Raw genomic sequence first — 17,695 nt, 5'->3', positions numbered from 1 at the left:
CAGCACTTGAGGAGTCTGAGGCGGGTGGATCACTTGAGGTCAGGAGTTCCAGACCAGCCTGGCCAACATGGTGAAACCCCATCTCTACTAATCACACAAAAATTAGCCTCTTGTAGTGGCGCATGCCTGTAATCCCAGCTACTTGGGAAGCTGAGGCAGAAGAATCACTTGAACTCGGGAGGTGGAGGTGGCAGTGAGCCGAGATCATGCCACCGCACTCTAGCCTAGGCAACAGGGCAAGACTTCATCTCAAAAAAAAAAAAAAAAAAAAAAAGAGCAAGAGATGTAATCCACATAAAATTCACACATTTGAAGTGCACACAATCCACGGTTTTTAATGTGTTCACAAATATGTGTCATCATCACCACAGCTGGTTTTAGTTCATTTTCACCACCCTAAAAGAAAGTTTTTACCTAGATCGCACCACTGCACTCCAGCCTGGGCGACAGAGCAAGAGTCCGTCTCAAAAACAAAACAAAACAAAAAAAGATTGTATTACCAAGGCAGACATGGTCTTGAATTCCAGTTCTACCACCTTTCTCCATTTACTAGGTACTATGATCTGATCTACCTGAGTAAGCAACATTCCTGAGGAAATCATAGAACCCAGCAGATTTCAATGTACGTAGTAAATTACATGGAGTCACATCATCAATTATTTCAGTGATTTCAACAGAACTGACTTCAGTGGAAATCAGGGGTCGGGGGGTGAGGTGTGGGGGGGCACAGAGGAACACAGTGATCAACTTACTGCCACTCCAGTTAAAGCTGTGAGCACACCGGAAAAGAATCCCCCTCCCATCTGCTGATTCGCTCGGCCTGTGTTAGGAGCTAAAGGAATCTGATCATTCCCATATTTCTGAAAGGCTGCAAGACTTTGGACTATGTCATTATTCTGCTGAATGTCTTCAAATCTCAGTCTAATGGCATCAGGAAATAACTTTTCAATGGCATCCCTATGGAGAATAGAAAAAAAAAATTAAGACAGTTGTTTGACTAAATATCATGTTTAGAGGCCAAAAAAGCCCTGATAGTCAACATCTAATAATATATAGCTACCCTAGGAGAACTGACAAGAAATGTATTATAGTCCTGTGGGTAAAAGCAAAAAATCTGAAATAATCTATTAGGTTGTTTACCATTACTTTCTCCTTTTGTTTTTTTGAGACGGAGTCTTACTCTGTCGCCCAGGCTGGAGTGCAATGGCGTGATCTTGGCTCACCGGTGCACACCACCATACCCGGATAACTTTTTTTTTGTATTTTTAGTAGAGATAGGGTTTCACTATGTTGCCCAGGCTGGTATTGAACTCCTGAGCTCAGGCAATCTGCCCACCGGGGCCTCCCAAAGTGCTAAGATTAGAGGCATGAGCCACTGCACCCAGCCTACCATTACTTTCAATGGTAAAAACTGCAATTACTTGTGCACCAACCTGATGATATACATTTACTACTAGGTAAAAGGCTAAATGAAATATGGTATATTCATACAATGAAGTATCACAATTTTAAATGCATTTGCTGGATCACTAAATGTGTCAAGGTGGAGAAATTTAAGACGTACATAATTGATTTAAAATAGTAAACTGCAGAACCATGCAGAGAGCACATCAATGATGTGAGAAAATACTTGCATTTTCTATTGGCACTTGTTTTTTTTTTTTTTTGAGACAAGAGTCTTGCTCTGTCACCCAGGCTGGAGTGTAATGTCATGATCTCAGCTTACCGCAACCTCCGTGTCCTTCAAGTGATTCTCATGTCTCAGCCTCCTGAGTAGCTGGGATTATGGGCATGCGCCATTACACCAGGCTAATTTTTGTATTTTTGGTCATGTTGGCTAGGCTGGTCTTGAATTCCTGGCCTCATGAGATCCGCCTGCCTCGGTCCTCCCAAGGTACTGGGATTACAGGCATGAGCCACCGCACCCAGCCTGGCACATGTATGTTTAGAAGTATTTTTAAGCCGGGCGTGGTGGCTCACGCCTGTAATCCCAGCACTTTGGGAGGCCGAGGTGGGCAGATCACTTAAGGTCAGGAGTTCCAGACCAGCCTGGCCAACATGGTAAAACCCTGTTTCTACTAAAAATACAAAAATCAACCGGGTGTGGTGGTGGGCGCCTGTAATCCCAGCTACTTGGGAGGCTGAGGCAGGAGAATCGCTTGAACCTGGGAGGAGGAGGTTGCAGTGAGCTGAGATCGCACCATTGCACTCCAGCCTGGGCAACAGAGCGAGACTCTGTCTCAAAAAAGAGTATTTTGAAAAATCTGAGGCTGGGTGTAGTGGCTCACGCCTGTAATCTCAGCACTGTGGGATGCTGAGGCAGGAGGTTCACTTGAGCTCAGCAGTTGGAGACCAGCCTGGGCAACATAGTGAGACCTGATCGCTACTAAAAAGTTAAAAAAAAGTATTTAAAAAAATCTGAACAAAAGCACAACTAAGTCATAACTGAAATTATTCTAAGGAAAAAGGAAAGGATTCTAAGATGGGAAAATAAGGGGTCAAAAGGATCTTTAGTTTTATCAGTAATTTTCCAATATTTTAAAAAGAGGCTGGGCGCGGGGGCTCATGCCTGTAATCCCAGCACTTTGGGAGGCTGAGGCGGGCGGATCACCTGAGGTCGGGAGTATGAGACCAGCCTGACCAACATGGAGAAACTCTGTCTCTACGAAAAATACAAAATTAGCCAGGCATGGTGGCACATGCCTGTAATCCCAGCTACTTGGGAGGCTGAGGCAGGAGAATCACTTGAACCTGGGAGGCGGAGGTTGCAGTGAGCCGAGATTTTGCCAATGCACTCCAGCCCGGGCAACAAGGGTGAAGCTCCATCTTAAAAAAAAAAAATTTTAGCTGGGCATTTGGCCAGGCACAGTGGCTCACGCCTGTAATCCCAGCACTTTGGGAGGCCAAGACGGGCGGATCACTAAAGGTCAGGAGTTCGAGACCAGCCTGGCCAAAACTGTGAAACCCCGTCTCTACTGAAAATACAAACATTCACCAGGCACGGTGGCTCACGCCTATAATCCCAGCACTTTGGGAGGCCAAGGTGGGCGGATCATCTGAGGTAAGGAGTTTGAGACTAGCCTCATCAACATGGGGAAACCCCGTCTCTACTAAAAATACAAAATTAGCCGGGCGTGGTGGCAGTTGCCTGTAATCCCAGCTATTAGGGAAGCTGAGGCAGGAGAAAACTGCTTGAACCTGAGAGGGAGAGGTTGTGGTAAGTCGAGATCACGCCATTGCACTCCAGCCTAGGAAACAAGAGTGAAACTCCGTCTCAAAAAACAAAAAACAAACAAAAAAACCCAAAAATTAGCTGGGCGTGGTAGCAGGCTCCTGTAATCCCAGCTACTCCAGAGGCTGAGGCAGGAGAATCACTTGAACCTAGGAGGTGGAGGTTGCAGTGAGCCAAGGTCGTACCACTGCACTCCAGCCTGAGCGACAGAGTGAGACTTTGTCTCAAAGAATATAAACAATGAATGTATGTATGTGTGTGTATGTGTGTGTATATATATGTATCTTATGTTATTAAAATCAGTTTATAAGAAGGGAAAAAAGCAAAATTCAGTAATAAGACCAACTGTCAGCTTAAATTGTAGGGCTCTTTTTAAATGTTCAGTTATACACAAAGAACCCTCCTTTAATTTAAGATTAAATTTAACCTTCAGCTAAATCAAGACTGACAGGTAAGAGCAAAGTGTAAACACATCTTTTGTGAAAAAGAAAAGGTTGGGTTCATGGAACTTTCTAGTACTCTGTTGAAATCAAGAAGGGCACACACATTGTTAGACAATAGAAGAGGGGAAGAGGATTTAAGCCTCAGAGCCTTCACAGGTACATTATGAGCCAAAGAAGCAGAAAATAACAAGCTATCTGAAAGGTGGCTTTGGCACTGTGATGCTACACATGAGAAACTCTATTAATGTGATAACTGGAACTGGGGTTATCTAAAGATTATTAAAATCAGCAACAAACCAGTTATTCACAATTATACAGTTATACCATTTGCTTTCTTTCTTTCTTTCTTTCTTTTTTTTTGAGACAGGGTCTTGCTCTGTTGCCCAGGCTGGAGTGTAGTGGTGTGAGCTCATTGCAGCCTCGACCTCCCAGGCTCAAGCAATCCTCCCACCTCAGCCACTGGCATAGCTGGGACTATAGGCATGTACCACCACACCTGGCTAATTTTTAAAACTTTCTATAGAGATAAGGACTCACCGTGTTGCCCAGGATGCTTCTAAATTCCTGGTGTCAAGCAATGTTCCTACCTCAGCCTCTGAAAGTGTTGGGATTACAGGCGTGAGCCACTGGTCTGGCCTTTATATGACAGGATTACCAGCAACGGTCTGCTAACCAGACTTTCTTTCTTTCCTTCATTCATAATAAATAATTTAAAAAGTCATGGTCACCTATGAGGAAGAGAATCTGGATTTCCAGTTCCTTGAGCTCCCTGACTCATATTCCAGAAGATCCACCCCCAAGGAGGTGGGCTCCAAGTGTGCGACCTTTCAAACACTGCTGTTCCTGTTAAGAGAAAGCCCACTGGCTGGACATGGTGGCTCACACCTATAATCCCAGCACTTTGGGAGGCTGAAGTGGGAGGATCACTTGAGGTCAGGAGTTTGAGACCAGCCTGGGCAACATAGCGAGACGCCATCTCTGTTAAAAAAAAAAAAAAAAAAGCAAGAGAGAAACCACATTTTATGGGCTGTTTGTGCTACCAATATAGGCTGAACATTACCTGAGGAGAATACTGACTTTGGGGAAACCTTCCCATTTTTCTCTGCATTCTGGACATTCTGTTTTCTTTGAAGATGCCCACCATAAAGCAAGGCAGTGACGGCAGAAGCTGTGCCCACAGTTCAAGGTGGTGGGGTTAACCAGGATGTCGTAGCAGCAGTGGCAAGAAAATTCACTAACAGAAATCTGAGGGCCGGTGCTTTTGAGAGGTTCATCTCTCTCAAGGTCCATTGTGTTCACATAGCTTTTCTGAGGTTCCTCCATCTCTTAGCAAATTCTGGGTTCCAGAGACATAAAAAATTTCAGACGTAGAAAACTGCTGCAAAACATCATTAATCTAGAAAAAAAAAACAGAGACAAAAATAAGGCAAATAGTAGTTGTTTGAAGAGCAGTTAATATAAAAGTATTGACATTCTATTGAAGCGCTAATTTTTTTTTTTTTTTTTTGAGACACAGTCTTGCTCTCTGGCCCAGGATGGAGTGCAGTGGCGTGATCTCAGCTCACTGCAACCTCCACCTCCCAGGTTCAAGCAATTCTCCTGCCTCAGCCTCCCCAGTAGCTGGGACTACAGGTGCAACCCACCATACCCAGCTAATTTTTCATATTTTTTTAGCAGAGACGGGGTTTCACCGTGTTAGCCAAGATGGTCTCGATCTCCTGACCTCGTGATCTGCCTGCCTTGGCCTCCCAAAGTGCTGAGATTACAGGCATGAGCCACTGTGCCCAGCCTGATTTTTTTTTTTTTTTGGTGGGGGTGGGGGAGGCTTTCTGATAAAGACCAGAAAACCTTCTAGACAAATTGTAAAGGAGTTGTAATACTAAAGCTCTAATTTTAATTAATTAATTAATTCATTCTCAACAAGGCTGGAGTCCAGTGGCGCAATCACAGCTCACTGCCGCCTCAACTTCCCAGGCTCAGGTAGGTGATCCTCCACCTCACCCTCCTGAGTAGCTGGGACTACAGGTGTGCACTACTATGCCCGGGTAATTTTTTGTATTTTTAGTAGAGATGCAGTTTCGCCACATTGCCCAGGCTGGAGCTCTAATTTTTTAAAGTGACAAATTTGATTTATTAAAATCCACATACCATAAACCACATAATCAGCATTCAATTTCTTTCTGGCCTATTTGTTATACTTTTCAAATGTAGTAAAGCAAAATAATATGTGTAGTGGAAGGTTCCATAGACTCGAAGGATGTGGGCAGAGATTTCTGGATCATTCTCCTTCACTAACTTCCTTAGAAAATGAAATTTCCCTGATCTCAGTGTTCTCAATTAAATTTCCTTTTTTTTTTTTTGAGACGAAGTCTCACTCTATCAGCCAGGCTGGAGTGCGGTGGTGTGATCTTGGCTCACGTCAACCTCTGCCTGCCAGGTTCAAGCAATTCTGCCTTGGCCTCCCAAGTAGCTGGGATTACAGGTGCGTGCCATTGGGCCCAGCTAATTTTTGTATTTTTAGTAGAGACGGGTTTTCGCCATGTTGGCCAGGCTGGTCTTGAACTCCTGACCTCAGGTGATCCACCCTCTTCAGCCTCCCAAAGTGCTGGGATTACAGGTATGAGCCACCACATCTGGCTTTAATTTTTGTATTTTTAGTAGAGGTGGGTTTTCACCATGTTGGCCAGGCTGGTCTCGAACTCCTGAACTCGAGTGATCTGCCAGTCTTGGCCTATCAAAGTGCTGGGATTACAGGTGTGAGCTACTATGCCTGGCCTCAATTAAATTCCCAAAGACCTTTCCAGGTCTATGACTTTAAATAAACCAGCTTCTTGGCCTAGTAAAATGTCTGGGGTTGGTAACAACAGATATGCTTCCTGTAAATAACACTTGTTGTGCACACAAATCTGCCTTCTCATTAGGCAATCATTATTTTATAAACATTTGACTTCAGAGGCTCTAATGCGAGCAATTCCAAGAAGTGAGTGAAGCCTCATTTTCTAGCTGTGCCAGGCCAAATCTGCCATGGCTCAATATACCCTTTCCCTCCAAATCAACCCAAAAAATGCATCTCATGCCCTCTGGATCCAGCCAGCTTGGTGCCACAGAAATGCTAATATTACTAATAAGCAAATGACAAAAGGTAAGCAAATGACAAAGGACCATTCTCTTCTTGTTTTCATCTGGGTTTTAGGAGACATTTTTAAAAATTTTTTTAAATTGAGAAGTAGTATGACACAGATCTTGGAGTTGGACTCTTAACTCCCCCAAGTCACTAGCTCTGTGACTCTGCAGAAGTTACTCAAGCTCTCTGATCAAGTTTCCTCAACTGTGAAATGGTGGTCACAGTACACAAACCATCAAGATTTCTTGTGAGGATTAGAGACAGTGAAGGAAAGTGGCTCAAAATTTGTATGGTGTAAATACGCGCTATAGAAATGATTATTCATACTATTTCTGGTGAGTTTCTCAATCTTGCTATTGTGAAGGAAAAGACTGAAAATTGCTCTCCGCCGCCCACACTGGCCATGCAGGGAAGGGCTCACGCTTCATGCTCTGGAGGCACAGTGGTTAGGAACACAGGTCCCATGGCTGGGCTGCCTGGGTTCTCACCCCACCTCTGCCATTTACCAGCGGTGAGGCTCAGCTTGCTCACCATATAGATGAGGGACAATGACAGCACTTAACCATAGTGGGAGTTTTGCAGCATTAAAGAAGAGAATTCGAGTCAAGTGCCTAGTACAGAGCCTGGCACATGGTAAGTCTACCATAAATGGTAACAATTCACTTGATTTTTATTTTATTTTAGTGATAGAGTTTTGCTCTTTTTGCCCAGGCTGGAGTGCAATAGCACAACCTGAGCTCACTGCAATCTCCACCTCCTGGGGTTCAAGCGATTCTCCTGCCTCAGCCTCCTAAGTAGCTGGGATTACAGGCAGGCACCACCACATCTGCTAATTTTGTATTTTTAGTCGAGATGGGGGTTTCACCATGTTGGTCAGGTTGGTCTTGAACTCCTGACCTCGGGCAATCTGCCTGCGTCAGCCTCCCAAAGTGCTGGGATTACAGGCGTGAGCCACCATGTCCGGCCTCTATAGTATACTTTTTTTTTTTTTTTTTGAGATGGAGTCTCACTCTGTCGCCCAGGCTGGAGTGCAGGGGCGCGATCTCCACTCACTGCAAGCTCCGCCTCCTGGGTTCACACCCTCCTGCACCAGCAATAATGCTGGTTATTAATTATTAACTAATTAATAATTAAAGGCCTCTTTGAGAAGGCCTCCACCTCCTAAGGATGTTTACAGTTGTTCTCTGCACATATGGCTAGCTGTCAGCAGCAGGCTGCAGGCGTTAGAAGCAGCTCTCAGCTACTCTTCTCTTCACTGTTTTCTCCATCTTGAAGGCTCCAAAGACAAGGGGGTAGGGGCAGGATTGCGGGGAGGAGAATCATTCTATTCCTACCCCTGGTGCTCCATTCATATGGATACACTTGTGTTTAGGAAATCATAACTGTTATTTACCAAGTTTAGTTGATCTTAGCCAAAAGGGCGAGAAGCAATAATTACTTAGTTCAAAAACGAATGGGAAGAATGACTGGGTTTGGAAAAATCTACAAAACAGCAAACAAACAAGTTTAAAACCATAGACTGAACACCTTAGAACTGAAGAGGACAGCAAAACCTCAGGAGTTCCCATAGGCACTGAGTCACTCTGAAGAGCTAAGGTTTCTGAATAAAAAGTTGGGTCTACAACTGGTATCTGGAGAGATGCCTCGGGAAGTCTGAATTCTGTGCCACGCTTGCGTTTGTGTATGGTACGTCCATGTTTCTAGAAGGCAGTCTATAGGGTTTATTAGGCTCTCAGAAGGGGCCAACTCCCAGAGGCGGTTAAGAGCTACTGCTGATCTACTGGGATAAGAGGGTGTTAATGTGCGACACACTTCTGCCTCTTGCAGTGGTTATAAGGAAGCAGGTGAGCCTCACCACGGTGACGCATCATTATTAACATCATCATCCATCTTCCGTGTCCTGGAACAGTCTCACCACCAGTAGCCACCGCCCTACCAGGGCAACACCTGGCCTGTAGGGAGGCTTTCCTTCACCTGGTGTTTTTTCTCCCTTTTCTAAGTTAAATGAGGTGCCAGCATTTACAAAAAAAAATCTGATATGACATAAAAATCTAGATTCCTGGCTTCTCTTGAAAAAAAACAAAAACAAAAACCCAGAGATCTGGCAATACTGGAATCGCATCACGCATGACAAGATCAGCTCGAGCAGAGGAACTCAGCAGCCGTGCCAGCGTCAGCTTGCTACACTCCTCTCCCACCTGTCCATTTCAGTTCTGTTACCTGCCTGACCCCCGAGCTTTCATCCCCTGTCCCATAATGTGATGCCTTCTTCCAAGTGTACTAATGGGTATATATGGTTGTTTCTAGGCAGCTTGGCTTTAGGCTAGTTAGCTTTTGGAGTTCTGTCAGCTTCGAGCTTTCCTCTCTCTCTCTCTTCTTCTTTTTTTTTTTTTTGGAGCTAGGTCTCACTCTGTTGCCCAGGCTGGAATGCAGTGGTGAGATCATGGCTCACTGTAGCCTCGACCTCCCCAGGCTCAGGTGATCCTCCTGCCTCAGCCTCCTATGTAGCCTGGACTACAGGTGTGCGCCACCACACCTGGCTAATTTTCTGCAGAGATGGGATTTTGCCATGTTGCCCAGGCTGATCTCGAACTCCTAAACTCAAGCAATCTGCCTACCGCGACCTCCCAAAATGCTGGGGTTACAGGTTTGAGTCACTGTGCCTGACCAGAGCTTTCCTCTCTCTTGATTTCACGTCAGGTCGTTACTTATCATTGTTGGCACAACTGACAGGAAACCAATATCATAATCTCTGAGGATCTGGACAATTCCAAGATATATAATCAACATGACCTTCTCTATGTTTTCCTGAAGACATGCCTAACTGACAAAGTATAATTATCTTTAAATCCCTAAAAGAAAAGGAAAGACTGGGAACACACACAATCTCCCAATGATGCATGTAACTAAAGAACTTGTTTCTGGCCTGGCGTGGTGGCTCACGCCTGTAATCCTAGCACTTTAGGAGGCTCTGTCTACCAAAATGGAGGTGGGCGGATCACCTGAGGTTAGGAATTCGAGACAAGCCTGGTCAACGTGGTGAAACTCCATCTCTACCAAAAATACAAAAATTAGCCGGGCATGGTGGTGCACGACTGTAATCCCAGCTACTCAGGAGGTTGAGGCAGGATAATCATTTGCACCCAGGACGTGGAGGATGCAGTGATACAAGATTGCACCACTGCACTCCAGCCTGGGTGACACAGCGAGACTCTGTCTGAAAAAAAAAAAAGAACTTATTTCTTAGTTCTGGGGTGCTGGGATGAACGTGGCTATTCTTCCCTGGACTTTGGGAGGCTGAGGCGGGTGGACTGCTTGATTCCAGGAGTTGGAGACCAGCCTACCAGCCTGCCAGCCTGGGCAACATGGTGAAACCCGGTCTCTACAAAGGAACTTGTTTTTCTGAGTTGGTGAATTTGAATGATCATCTATGGATCTATCCAGAGGGCTATTCTCCAGGAGGCAGTGGCACCCTGTTTGCTTCTTTAGCTGTCCAATTAACACTTAGGAAAGTCAATTAATACAATCATTCTTACTGCGTTTATTAAAGAGAAATCATTAATTCTGAGTTTAAGAATTTTTCTTTTTTTTTTTTTCTTTTTGAGACAAGTCTTACTCTGTTGCCCAAGCTACAGTGCAGTGGTGCAATCTCGGCTCACTGCAACCTCCGCCTCCTGGATTCAAGCAATTCTCATGCCTCAGCCTCCTGAGTAGCTGGGATTACAGGCGCCCAGCACCATGCCTGGCTAATTTTTGTATTTTTAATAGAGATGGGGTTTGCCACGTTGGCCAGACTGGTTTCAAACTCCTGACCTCACGTGATCCACCCATCTTGGCCTCCCAAAGTGTTGGGATTACAGGCGTGAGCCACTGCACCCAGGCTAAGAATTTTTATACCCTTACTTATAAAGATCTTGTGATGTAATGATTGTTAACTCTTTAGAAATTGTAATCTTTATCCAGAATCACAGGGAAAATAAAGAAATCGTAATTTTTAAACCACTTGGTTCAGCAGTATATGATCATGGTTGCACCCCTTCACTCAACATACATTTATTATGACCATTGTATATGGCTAATATTTTAAGAATGATCCTTTTAAGGGCTACTTTATTGGAAGTCCAGCCTGAAAAATATGATTTCAATCATTTCTTCTTTTTTAGAGACAGGGTCTCACTCTGTTGCCCAGGCCTGGAGGGCAGTGGTGCAATCATGGATCACTGTGGGCTTGAACTTTCGGGCTCCAGTGATCCTCCCACCTCAGCCTCCCAAGTAGCTGGGACCATAGGCATGTGCCACCACACCCAGCTAATTAAAATTTTTTTTGTATAGACAGGGTCTTGTTAAGTTGTCCATGATGGTCTCGAGTTCCTGGGCTCAAGCAATCATCTGGTCTCAGCTTCCCAAAGGGCTGGGATTATGGCATGAGCCCAGCTGACCTCAATTGTTTCTCAGCAAGAAGGTTCAGTGTAAGAATAGAAAGATTTTGGCTTCCATGGGCCTCTGGTTAGGCTAAATTCTCTCGTTATATATTAACTGACAATAGATGACTTCTTTACTTCGCAATGATTGCCTGTATTTATCACCTTATTTTTCCAGGGTACAAACTGAAAAAAAAAATCAAAGAGAGAAATTAAACTTCTCTAGCAGCAGGGAAAATACAGCATTGGAAATAAAATACATTGCAGGAAAAAAAAATGACTTTTTTTTTTTTTCTGAGATGGAGTCTTGCTCTGTCACCCAGGCTGGAGTGCAGTGGCACAATTTTGGCTCACCTCAACCTCTGCCTCCTGTGTTCAAGCGATTCTCCTGCCTCAGCCTCCCGAGTAGCTGGGATTACAAGCAGGCGCCACCATGCCTGGCTAAATTTTTCGTAGAGATGGGGTTTCACCATGTTGGCCAGGCTGGTCTCAAACTCCTGACCTCAGGTGATCTGCCTGCCGTGGCCTCTCAAAGTGCTGGGATTTACAGGCGTGAGCCATTGCACCCCGCGACAATTATTAATATTTACGGAGGCCTTATAATATTAAGGACATAACAATCATATGGAATAAGCATTACTACCATGTTCATTTTACAGATGAGAAAATGGAGTTCTAACTAGTAAAGGGCAGAGCCATGTTTTAAATCATGGTCTGGTCCCTGGTTGGAAACCAGGCGGAAACACCAAAAGAAAAAAAAAAATCATGGTCTGACTTAAAGCCTGTCTTCCTAATACGCCATTATCCTGATAAAGTAATCAATAACGGTTATTAGTTCAAAGGACTGATTTACTCCTTTATCATCTAGGCCACATCATAGAGATGCTACTGCACAGCTGAGAAAAACAAACTAGCATTTGACCACACAGCATTTTGGAACATGAACTCTAGCTGGTAGCTGTTAGGGTGACTATGCAGAGACATTTACAATAGAAATAGGGGTAGGAATGGGTGGGGGTGGGGGGAAAAGAAAGAGAGATCAGATTGTTACTGTGTCTGTATAGAAAGAGATAGACATAGGAGACTCCATTTTGTTCTGTACTAAGAAAAATTCTTCTGCCTTGAGATGCTGTTAATCTATAACCTTACCCCCAACCCCGTGCTCTCTGAAACACGTGCTGTGTCAACTCAGGGTTAAATGGATTACGGGCGGTACAAGATGTGCTTTGTTAAACAGATGCTTGAAGGCAGCATACTCCTTAAGAGTCATCACCACTCCCTAATCTCAAGTACCCAGGGACGCAAACACTGCGGAAGCCCGCAGGGACCTCTGCCTAGGAAAGCCAGGTATTGTCTAAGGTTTCTCCCCATGTGATAGTCTGAAATATGGCCTCTTGGGAAGGGAAAGACCTGACCGTCCCCCAGCCCGACACCCGTAAAGGGTCTGTGCTGAGGAGGATTAGCATAAGAGGAAGGCATGCCTCTTTGCAGTTGAGCCAAGAGGAAGGCATCTGTCTCCTGCCCGTCCCTGGGCAATGGAATGTCTTGGTATAAAACCCGATTGTATGTTCCATCTACTGAGATAGGGGAAAACCGCCTTAGGGCTGGAGGTGGGACATGCAGGCAACAATACCGCTCTGTAAGGCATTGAGATGTTTATGTGTATGCATATCTAAAGCACAGCATTTAATTCTTTACCTTGTCTATGATGCAGAGACCTTTGTTCACATGTTTATCTGCTGACCTTCTCTCCACTATTATCCTGACCCTGCCACATCCCCCTCTCTGAGAAACACCCAAGAATGATCAATAAATACTAAGGAAACTCAGAGGCTGGCGGGATCCTCCATATGCTGAACGCTGGTCTCCTGGGCCTCCTTATTTCTTTCTCTATACTTTGTGTCTTTTTCTTTTCCAAGTCTCTCGTTCCACCTAACGAGAAACACCCACAGGTGTGGAGGGGCAACCCACCCCTTCATGGGGGAAACCCCTATTTCTGACACTCCAGGTCCATTCCTGGAGACATCACTATAACTACCAGCAGAATACTACAGAAATTATTAAATATCTAGAGTGCACACCCATTTATAGTGACTACAAAATTAAAACGTGCTCAAATGTAAGCAAGGCAAGGTTCAGGAACCGCAAACAGAACAGACAAAAGCCGGCTCTCCCATTAACATAAGAGAAGCATTAGGCCGGGGCAGTGGCTCATGCCTGTAATCCCACCACTTTGGGAGGCCGAGGCGGGTGGATCAAGAGGTCAGGAGTTCGAGACCAGCCTGGCCAATATGGTGAAACCCCGTATCTACTAAAAATATTAAAATTAGCTGGGTGTGGGACTCCATCTTAAAAAAAAAAAAAGAGAGAGAAGCATTTCCAGTCACTTACTGTATAAAACATTGAGTTTTCAAACTCCAACTAGATTTTTTTTCTGGACAGGGTCAGAAACCAGTGGAGCAAAGGTGACTAGCTCCTCTAGATGCTGACTTGCTGCCTAGACCTTAAAGCCCTGTGATTTATTGCCCTAGGTGGTGTAGGGTAAGACGAAGGCGGGCTGAGAAGGCTATCCTGGCTCTCGCTGGAGCCTGCCCTCTTTCATTTCTCGTGGCATATATGCAAGGACCTATCCTGTACTATACTCTGTAGATGTTCAGTAACTCAGCTATCAAAAACTATGGTTAGTTACCAAGTCAGTAACTCAGATAGCTATAAAAAACTATGGGTAGTTACCAAGTTACACGCACTTTAACTATTGGTTTTTGTTTGTTTTCAATCTTTTATGTCTTTGAGACTGAGTCTCACTCTGTCGCCCAGGCTGGAGTGCAGTGGCACAATCTCGGCTCACTGCAACATCTGCCTCCTGGGTTCCTGCGATTCTTGTTTCTCAGCCTCACAAGTAGCTGGAACTACAGGCGTCCACCACCATGCCCAGCTAATTTTTGTATTTTTAGTAGAGACAGGGTTTCACCATGTATCCCAAGCTGATCTTGAACACCTGAGCTCAAGCAATCTGCCCGCCTTGGCATCCCAAAGTGCAGGGATTACAGGAGTGAGCCACCGTGCCTGGCCTTGGACATTTTTCCTTATCCTCACATTGTTCCCTTCACCTGTAACACAACTTCACAACATCGCTGGGTCAAAAGTATCCAACTGGAAAGACCCAAATCAACTGTCACTTGAAAGTCTTTAATGACTAACTCCTCAACACCCAAATTAATCTTTCTTGTCTCTGTGCATTAGCATAACTTTTATTTGTGTACGTTTTCTCATCTCCTGGATTATAATTTCCTTAGGCTGGTAGAGTTGAAACAGTATGGTCTTAGGAGTGACACTGATCTGGGTTCCAAATCGCGTCACGATTTATTCTTCCTAAACTTCCTATTTCCCACTGATCCGTCTAGGATAATCATGTCAACTTCGAAGGGCTGTTGGGAGGTTTACTTTAAAAAAATTTTTTTAAGAGACAGCGTCTCCCTATGTTGCCTAGGTTGGTCTGGTCTCCTGGGCTCAAGGGATACTCCCACTTCTGCCTCCCAAACTGCTGGGATTACAGGCGTGAGCTGCGGAGCCCCGCCCTGCTGTGAGGTTTAGATGACAAACTATCTACAGGTACTCAAAGTTTGCTGTGTGGGGCTGATCGGCATTATTAACAGAATTATCAATAGCAGCATTTATTGAGTGATGGCTACCTACTTAGTGGCACTGCCAAACGCTGGAACCAAAAAGCAAACAAAAAGAACTGCCCTGGAGAAATACAATGTCTCCATCAAGTTTATGGATATAGGGAAATGCAGAGCACACCTGTCAGGATACACCCAGGCTGGATGTTGAGAAAACAGCAGCGACAAGAACAAACAAAACAACCCCATCAGCACGTGCAGTCCCTGCCGGCTCGGGGGTGTGTCCTGGGAAGAGAGTAAAGCTCTTTCCTATTGGCGATTTGGAGCATGACATCAAGACCACCCCCCTTGCAAAGGACCGACCAATGGGCTTCGGCGGGGAGGACCCAATGGCGACAGTTGAGGGCTTAACAGCGTCTAGGCTCTCACTCTGTTTTCCGCGGAAGCTGGGATGCTGCCTCCTGCCCCTCCAAAGGTCCCCGTTTAGACACAACCTGACTCTCATCTGTCGCCCCCTCCCGCCGGCTTTTTTAATAAAAGACAATTCTCGGCCGGGCGCGGTGGCTCACGCCTGTAATCTCCCCACTTTGGGAGGCCGAGGCGAGTGGGTCACTTGAGGCCAGGAGTTCGAGAACAGTCTGACCAACATGGTGAAACCCCGTCTCTACTAAAAATACAAAAATCAGCCGGGCGTGGTTACGCGGGCCCGTAATCCCAGCTACTCAGAAGGCTGAGGCAAGAGAATCGCTTGAACCTGGGAGGCGGAGGTTGCAGTGAGCCGAGATTGCTCCACCGCACTCCAGCCTGGGCGGCAGGGCAAGACTCCGTCTCTAAAAAGAAAAAAAAGAAAATTCTCTTTTGCCTAAGTTATTTCCGAGCCGCAAGTCGCAGAATCAGAAGAGCCGAGTTCTTGCCTGGCCCCAGTGTGACTTTGGGATTTCACTTTCTCCCTTCTGCGCTTCGGTCACCCTACTTTAAAGAATGGGCACAATCGCTCCGCCTTAGGCCAGGAACGTGCCTCGACAATTAGACCGTAAACTCAGCGTGGCGACTATCAGAAGCCTCATCAATTCTGGTCCGGCTGTTGCAGGGTGTGGCAAGCGCTCCTGGCGGGCAGGCGCCCCGTGGTTCCCCTCCAAGGTGTTTGGAAGCGACCCCTCCTCCTTCCCGCCCTAGGGAGCCCCAGGAGGGAGTGGCTCTGACCCTGACCCCCGAAAGGACGCAGGCGAGGCCCAGCGACCGGCTGTGCGGACGTGGGGCTCTCGGGAAGGGATAGCGCAGTTGGCCAAGCTGGGGTCCGAACCCCGCGGCCAGGAGTGGGGATGCTCAGGACTCGGGCCTGCGTGAGGAGAGGCCCCGCGCGCCTCCTACGACCCGGCTGGGGAGGCTCCGCAGAAGGGATTCCCGCTCCGTCTTCCACATCACTCCCCGATATCAAGCCCGAGTCGCCCCCTCAGCACCCCCCAGCCGTGTCGCGGCTTACCATTCCACTCGTCCCGGGCCAACCGGGCCATTATTCTCAGCACAGACCCCGCGGGAGCAGAGGAAGAGGGAGAGGCTTCGCTACCGGAAGTAACAAGACAGAGTGGGGGAAGCGTGCCCCGGCCCCGTGACCATAGAGGAGAGGCCGCTCTCCTTTCACAACCCCCCTCAACCCCGCGACCTCCCCGCTGCCTAGAGCGGCCACTCCCAGCCGGAGGAAGTGGGCGCATGCGTAATACCGCCGGTCCCGCCCCTTCCTCTTCACCCAGAGACCGAGTACCCGGGCTCGGCAGTCACAGCCCAAGGGGTGACGGGTGTGTGTCAGTTTCCGCTCCTCCTGGGCGGCTGTTCTTGTATCCGGAGGATACAAGCTTTGCCTAGAAATTAAAATATTACAAGGCCGCACCGTACTCTCTACAGTTATTTTTTGCCTTCACATTTTATGTAGAAAATCACAGGACTATACGTTCAATTTACGGTGTTAAGAATCGGAATTAAATGACTTTTATTTCTATTAAAATATTTTTTTTTTCGTAGAGATGGGGTCTCGCTGCGTTTTCCAGGCTGATCTTGAACATATGGCGTCAAGGGATCCTCCTGCCTCAGCCTTACAAAGTGCTGCGATTACAGGCGTGAGCCACCTCGTACAGCTTGAAATGGTTTTCTTATCACCACGTTTCGCCCCTTCCCAGCGTCTAGGTCACAGCGTCTAGAACTTATGCTGATTATTTGGTTTTGTTTTGTTGTTGTTGTTTGTTTTTGAGACAGAGTCTCACTCTCACCCGCCAGGCTGGCGTACAGTGGCACGATCTTGGCTCACTGCAACCTCCGCCTCCCGGGTTCAAGCGATTATCCCACCTCAGCCTCGTGAATAGTTGGGACTACGGGCGTGCACAACCACGCCTGGCTCATTTTAAAATTTCATTTTATTTTTATGGAGACAGGGTCTCGCTCTTTTCCCCAGGCTGGTCTGGAACTCCTGGGTTCAGGCGATTCTCCTGCCTCAGCCCCCGAAAACGCTGGGATTACAGGTGTGAGTCATGGCGCCAGGCCCCCATTAAACAGTTATTTATACAGATTTATTAATACGCTGCTTCCCAGTTCACATTCATTAGCACCACTGAGCCTCAATACAATCCCAGGAAATTGAGGTTTAGGAAGGTTTAATGCATTCCAGAACTAATAAGTGGCTGAGATAGATTTTGAAAATAGGTCTTCTAATCAACTTTCCTTTTGTTCGTTTGTTTGTTTTGGAGACGGAGTCTCGCTCTGTCGCCCAGGTTGGAGTGCAGTGGCACAATCTTGGCTCACTGCAACCTCCGCCTCCCGGGTTCAAGCAGTTCTCCTGCCTCAGCCTCCCGAGTAGCTGG

General features: G+C 46.3%; 1 protein-coding gene and 1 pseudogene across 3 annotated transcripts in view, besides 3 other annotated features; both read right to left on the bottom strand.

The window, feature by feature from the left end:
• The window catches only part of BFAR (bifunctional apoptosis regulator), a 36,286-nt gene extending 19,892 nt beyond the window's left edge, over window positions 1-16,394 (bottom strand). For 2 of the 3 annotated variants that reach the window (XM_005255350.3, NM_001330500.2), the window contains exons 1-2: window positions 16,327-16,394; window positions 4,736-5,071 (exon numbers count right to left, since the gene is read on the bottom strand). In XM_005255350.3, the coding sequence (XP_005255407.1) occupies window positions 4,736-4,819 (84 nt within the window). In that variant the 5' untranslated portion in view covers window positions 4,820-5,071; window positions 16,327-16,394. Of the gene's footprint in view, window positions 1-752; window positions 958-4,735; window positions 5,072-16,326 lie in introns of all 3 variants that reach the window. The other variant, NM_016561.3, reaches the window with a different exon arrangement.
• Window positions 5,496-5,557, bottom strand: RNU7-125P (RNA, U7 small nuclear 125 pseudogene; annotated as a pseudogene).
• Window positions 12,303-13,156: an enhancer, noted in NCBI's record as "NANOG-H3K27ac hESC enhancer chr16:14730046-14730899 (GRCh37/hg19 assembly coordinates)". NCBI's record gives its function as "activates a minimal SCP1, AML or CMV promoter by ChIP-STARR-seq in naive H9 embryonic stem cells {active_cell/tissue: H9 hESC(naive)}" and the evidence as "EXISTENCE:reporter gene assay evidence [ECO:0000049][PMID:30033119]".
• Window positions 15,812-16,381: an enhancer, noted in NCBI's record as "NANOG-H3K27ac-H3K4me1 hESC enhancer chr16:14726821-14727390 (GRCh37/hg19 assembly coordinates)". NCBI's record gives its function as "activates a minimal SCP1, AML or CMV promoter by ChIP-STARR-seq in naive and primed H9 embryonic stem cells {active_cell/tissue: H9 hESC(naive and primed)}" and the evidence as "EXISTENCE:reporter gene assay evidence [ECO:0000049][PMID:30033119]".
• Window positions 16,382-16,949: an enhancer, noted in NCBI's record as "NANOG-H3K27ac-H3K4me1 hESC enhancer chr16:14726253-14726820 (GRCh37/hg19 assembly coordinates)". NCBI's record gives its function as "activates a minimal SCP1, AML or CMV promoter by ChIP-STARR-seq in naive H9 embryonic stem cells {active_cell/tissue: H9 hESC(naive)}" and the evidence as "EXISTENCE:reporter gene assay evidence [ECO:0000049][PMID:30033119]".

This window comes from Homo sapiens, chromosome 16 (assembly GCF_000001405.40).
Source record: "Homo sapiens chromosome 16, GRCh38.p14 Primary Assembly".
Classification (NCBI taxonomy): domain Eukaryota; kingdom Metazoa; phylum Chordata; class Mammalia; order Primates; family Hominidae; genus Homo; species Homo sapiens.
The sequence above is the reverse complement of the archived record's forward strand: the minus strand, read 5'-3'. Positions and strand labels throughout refer to the sequence as shown.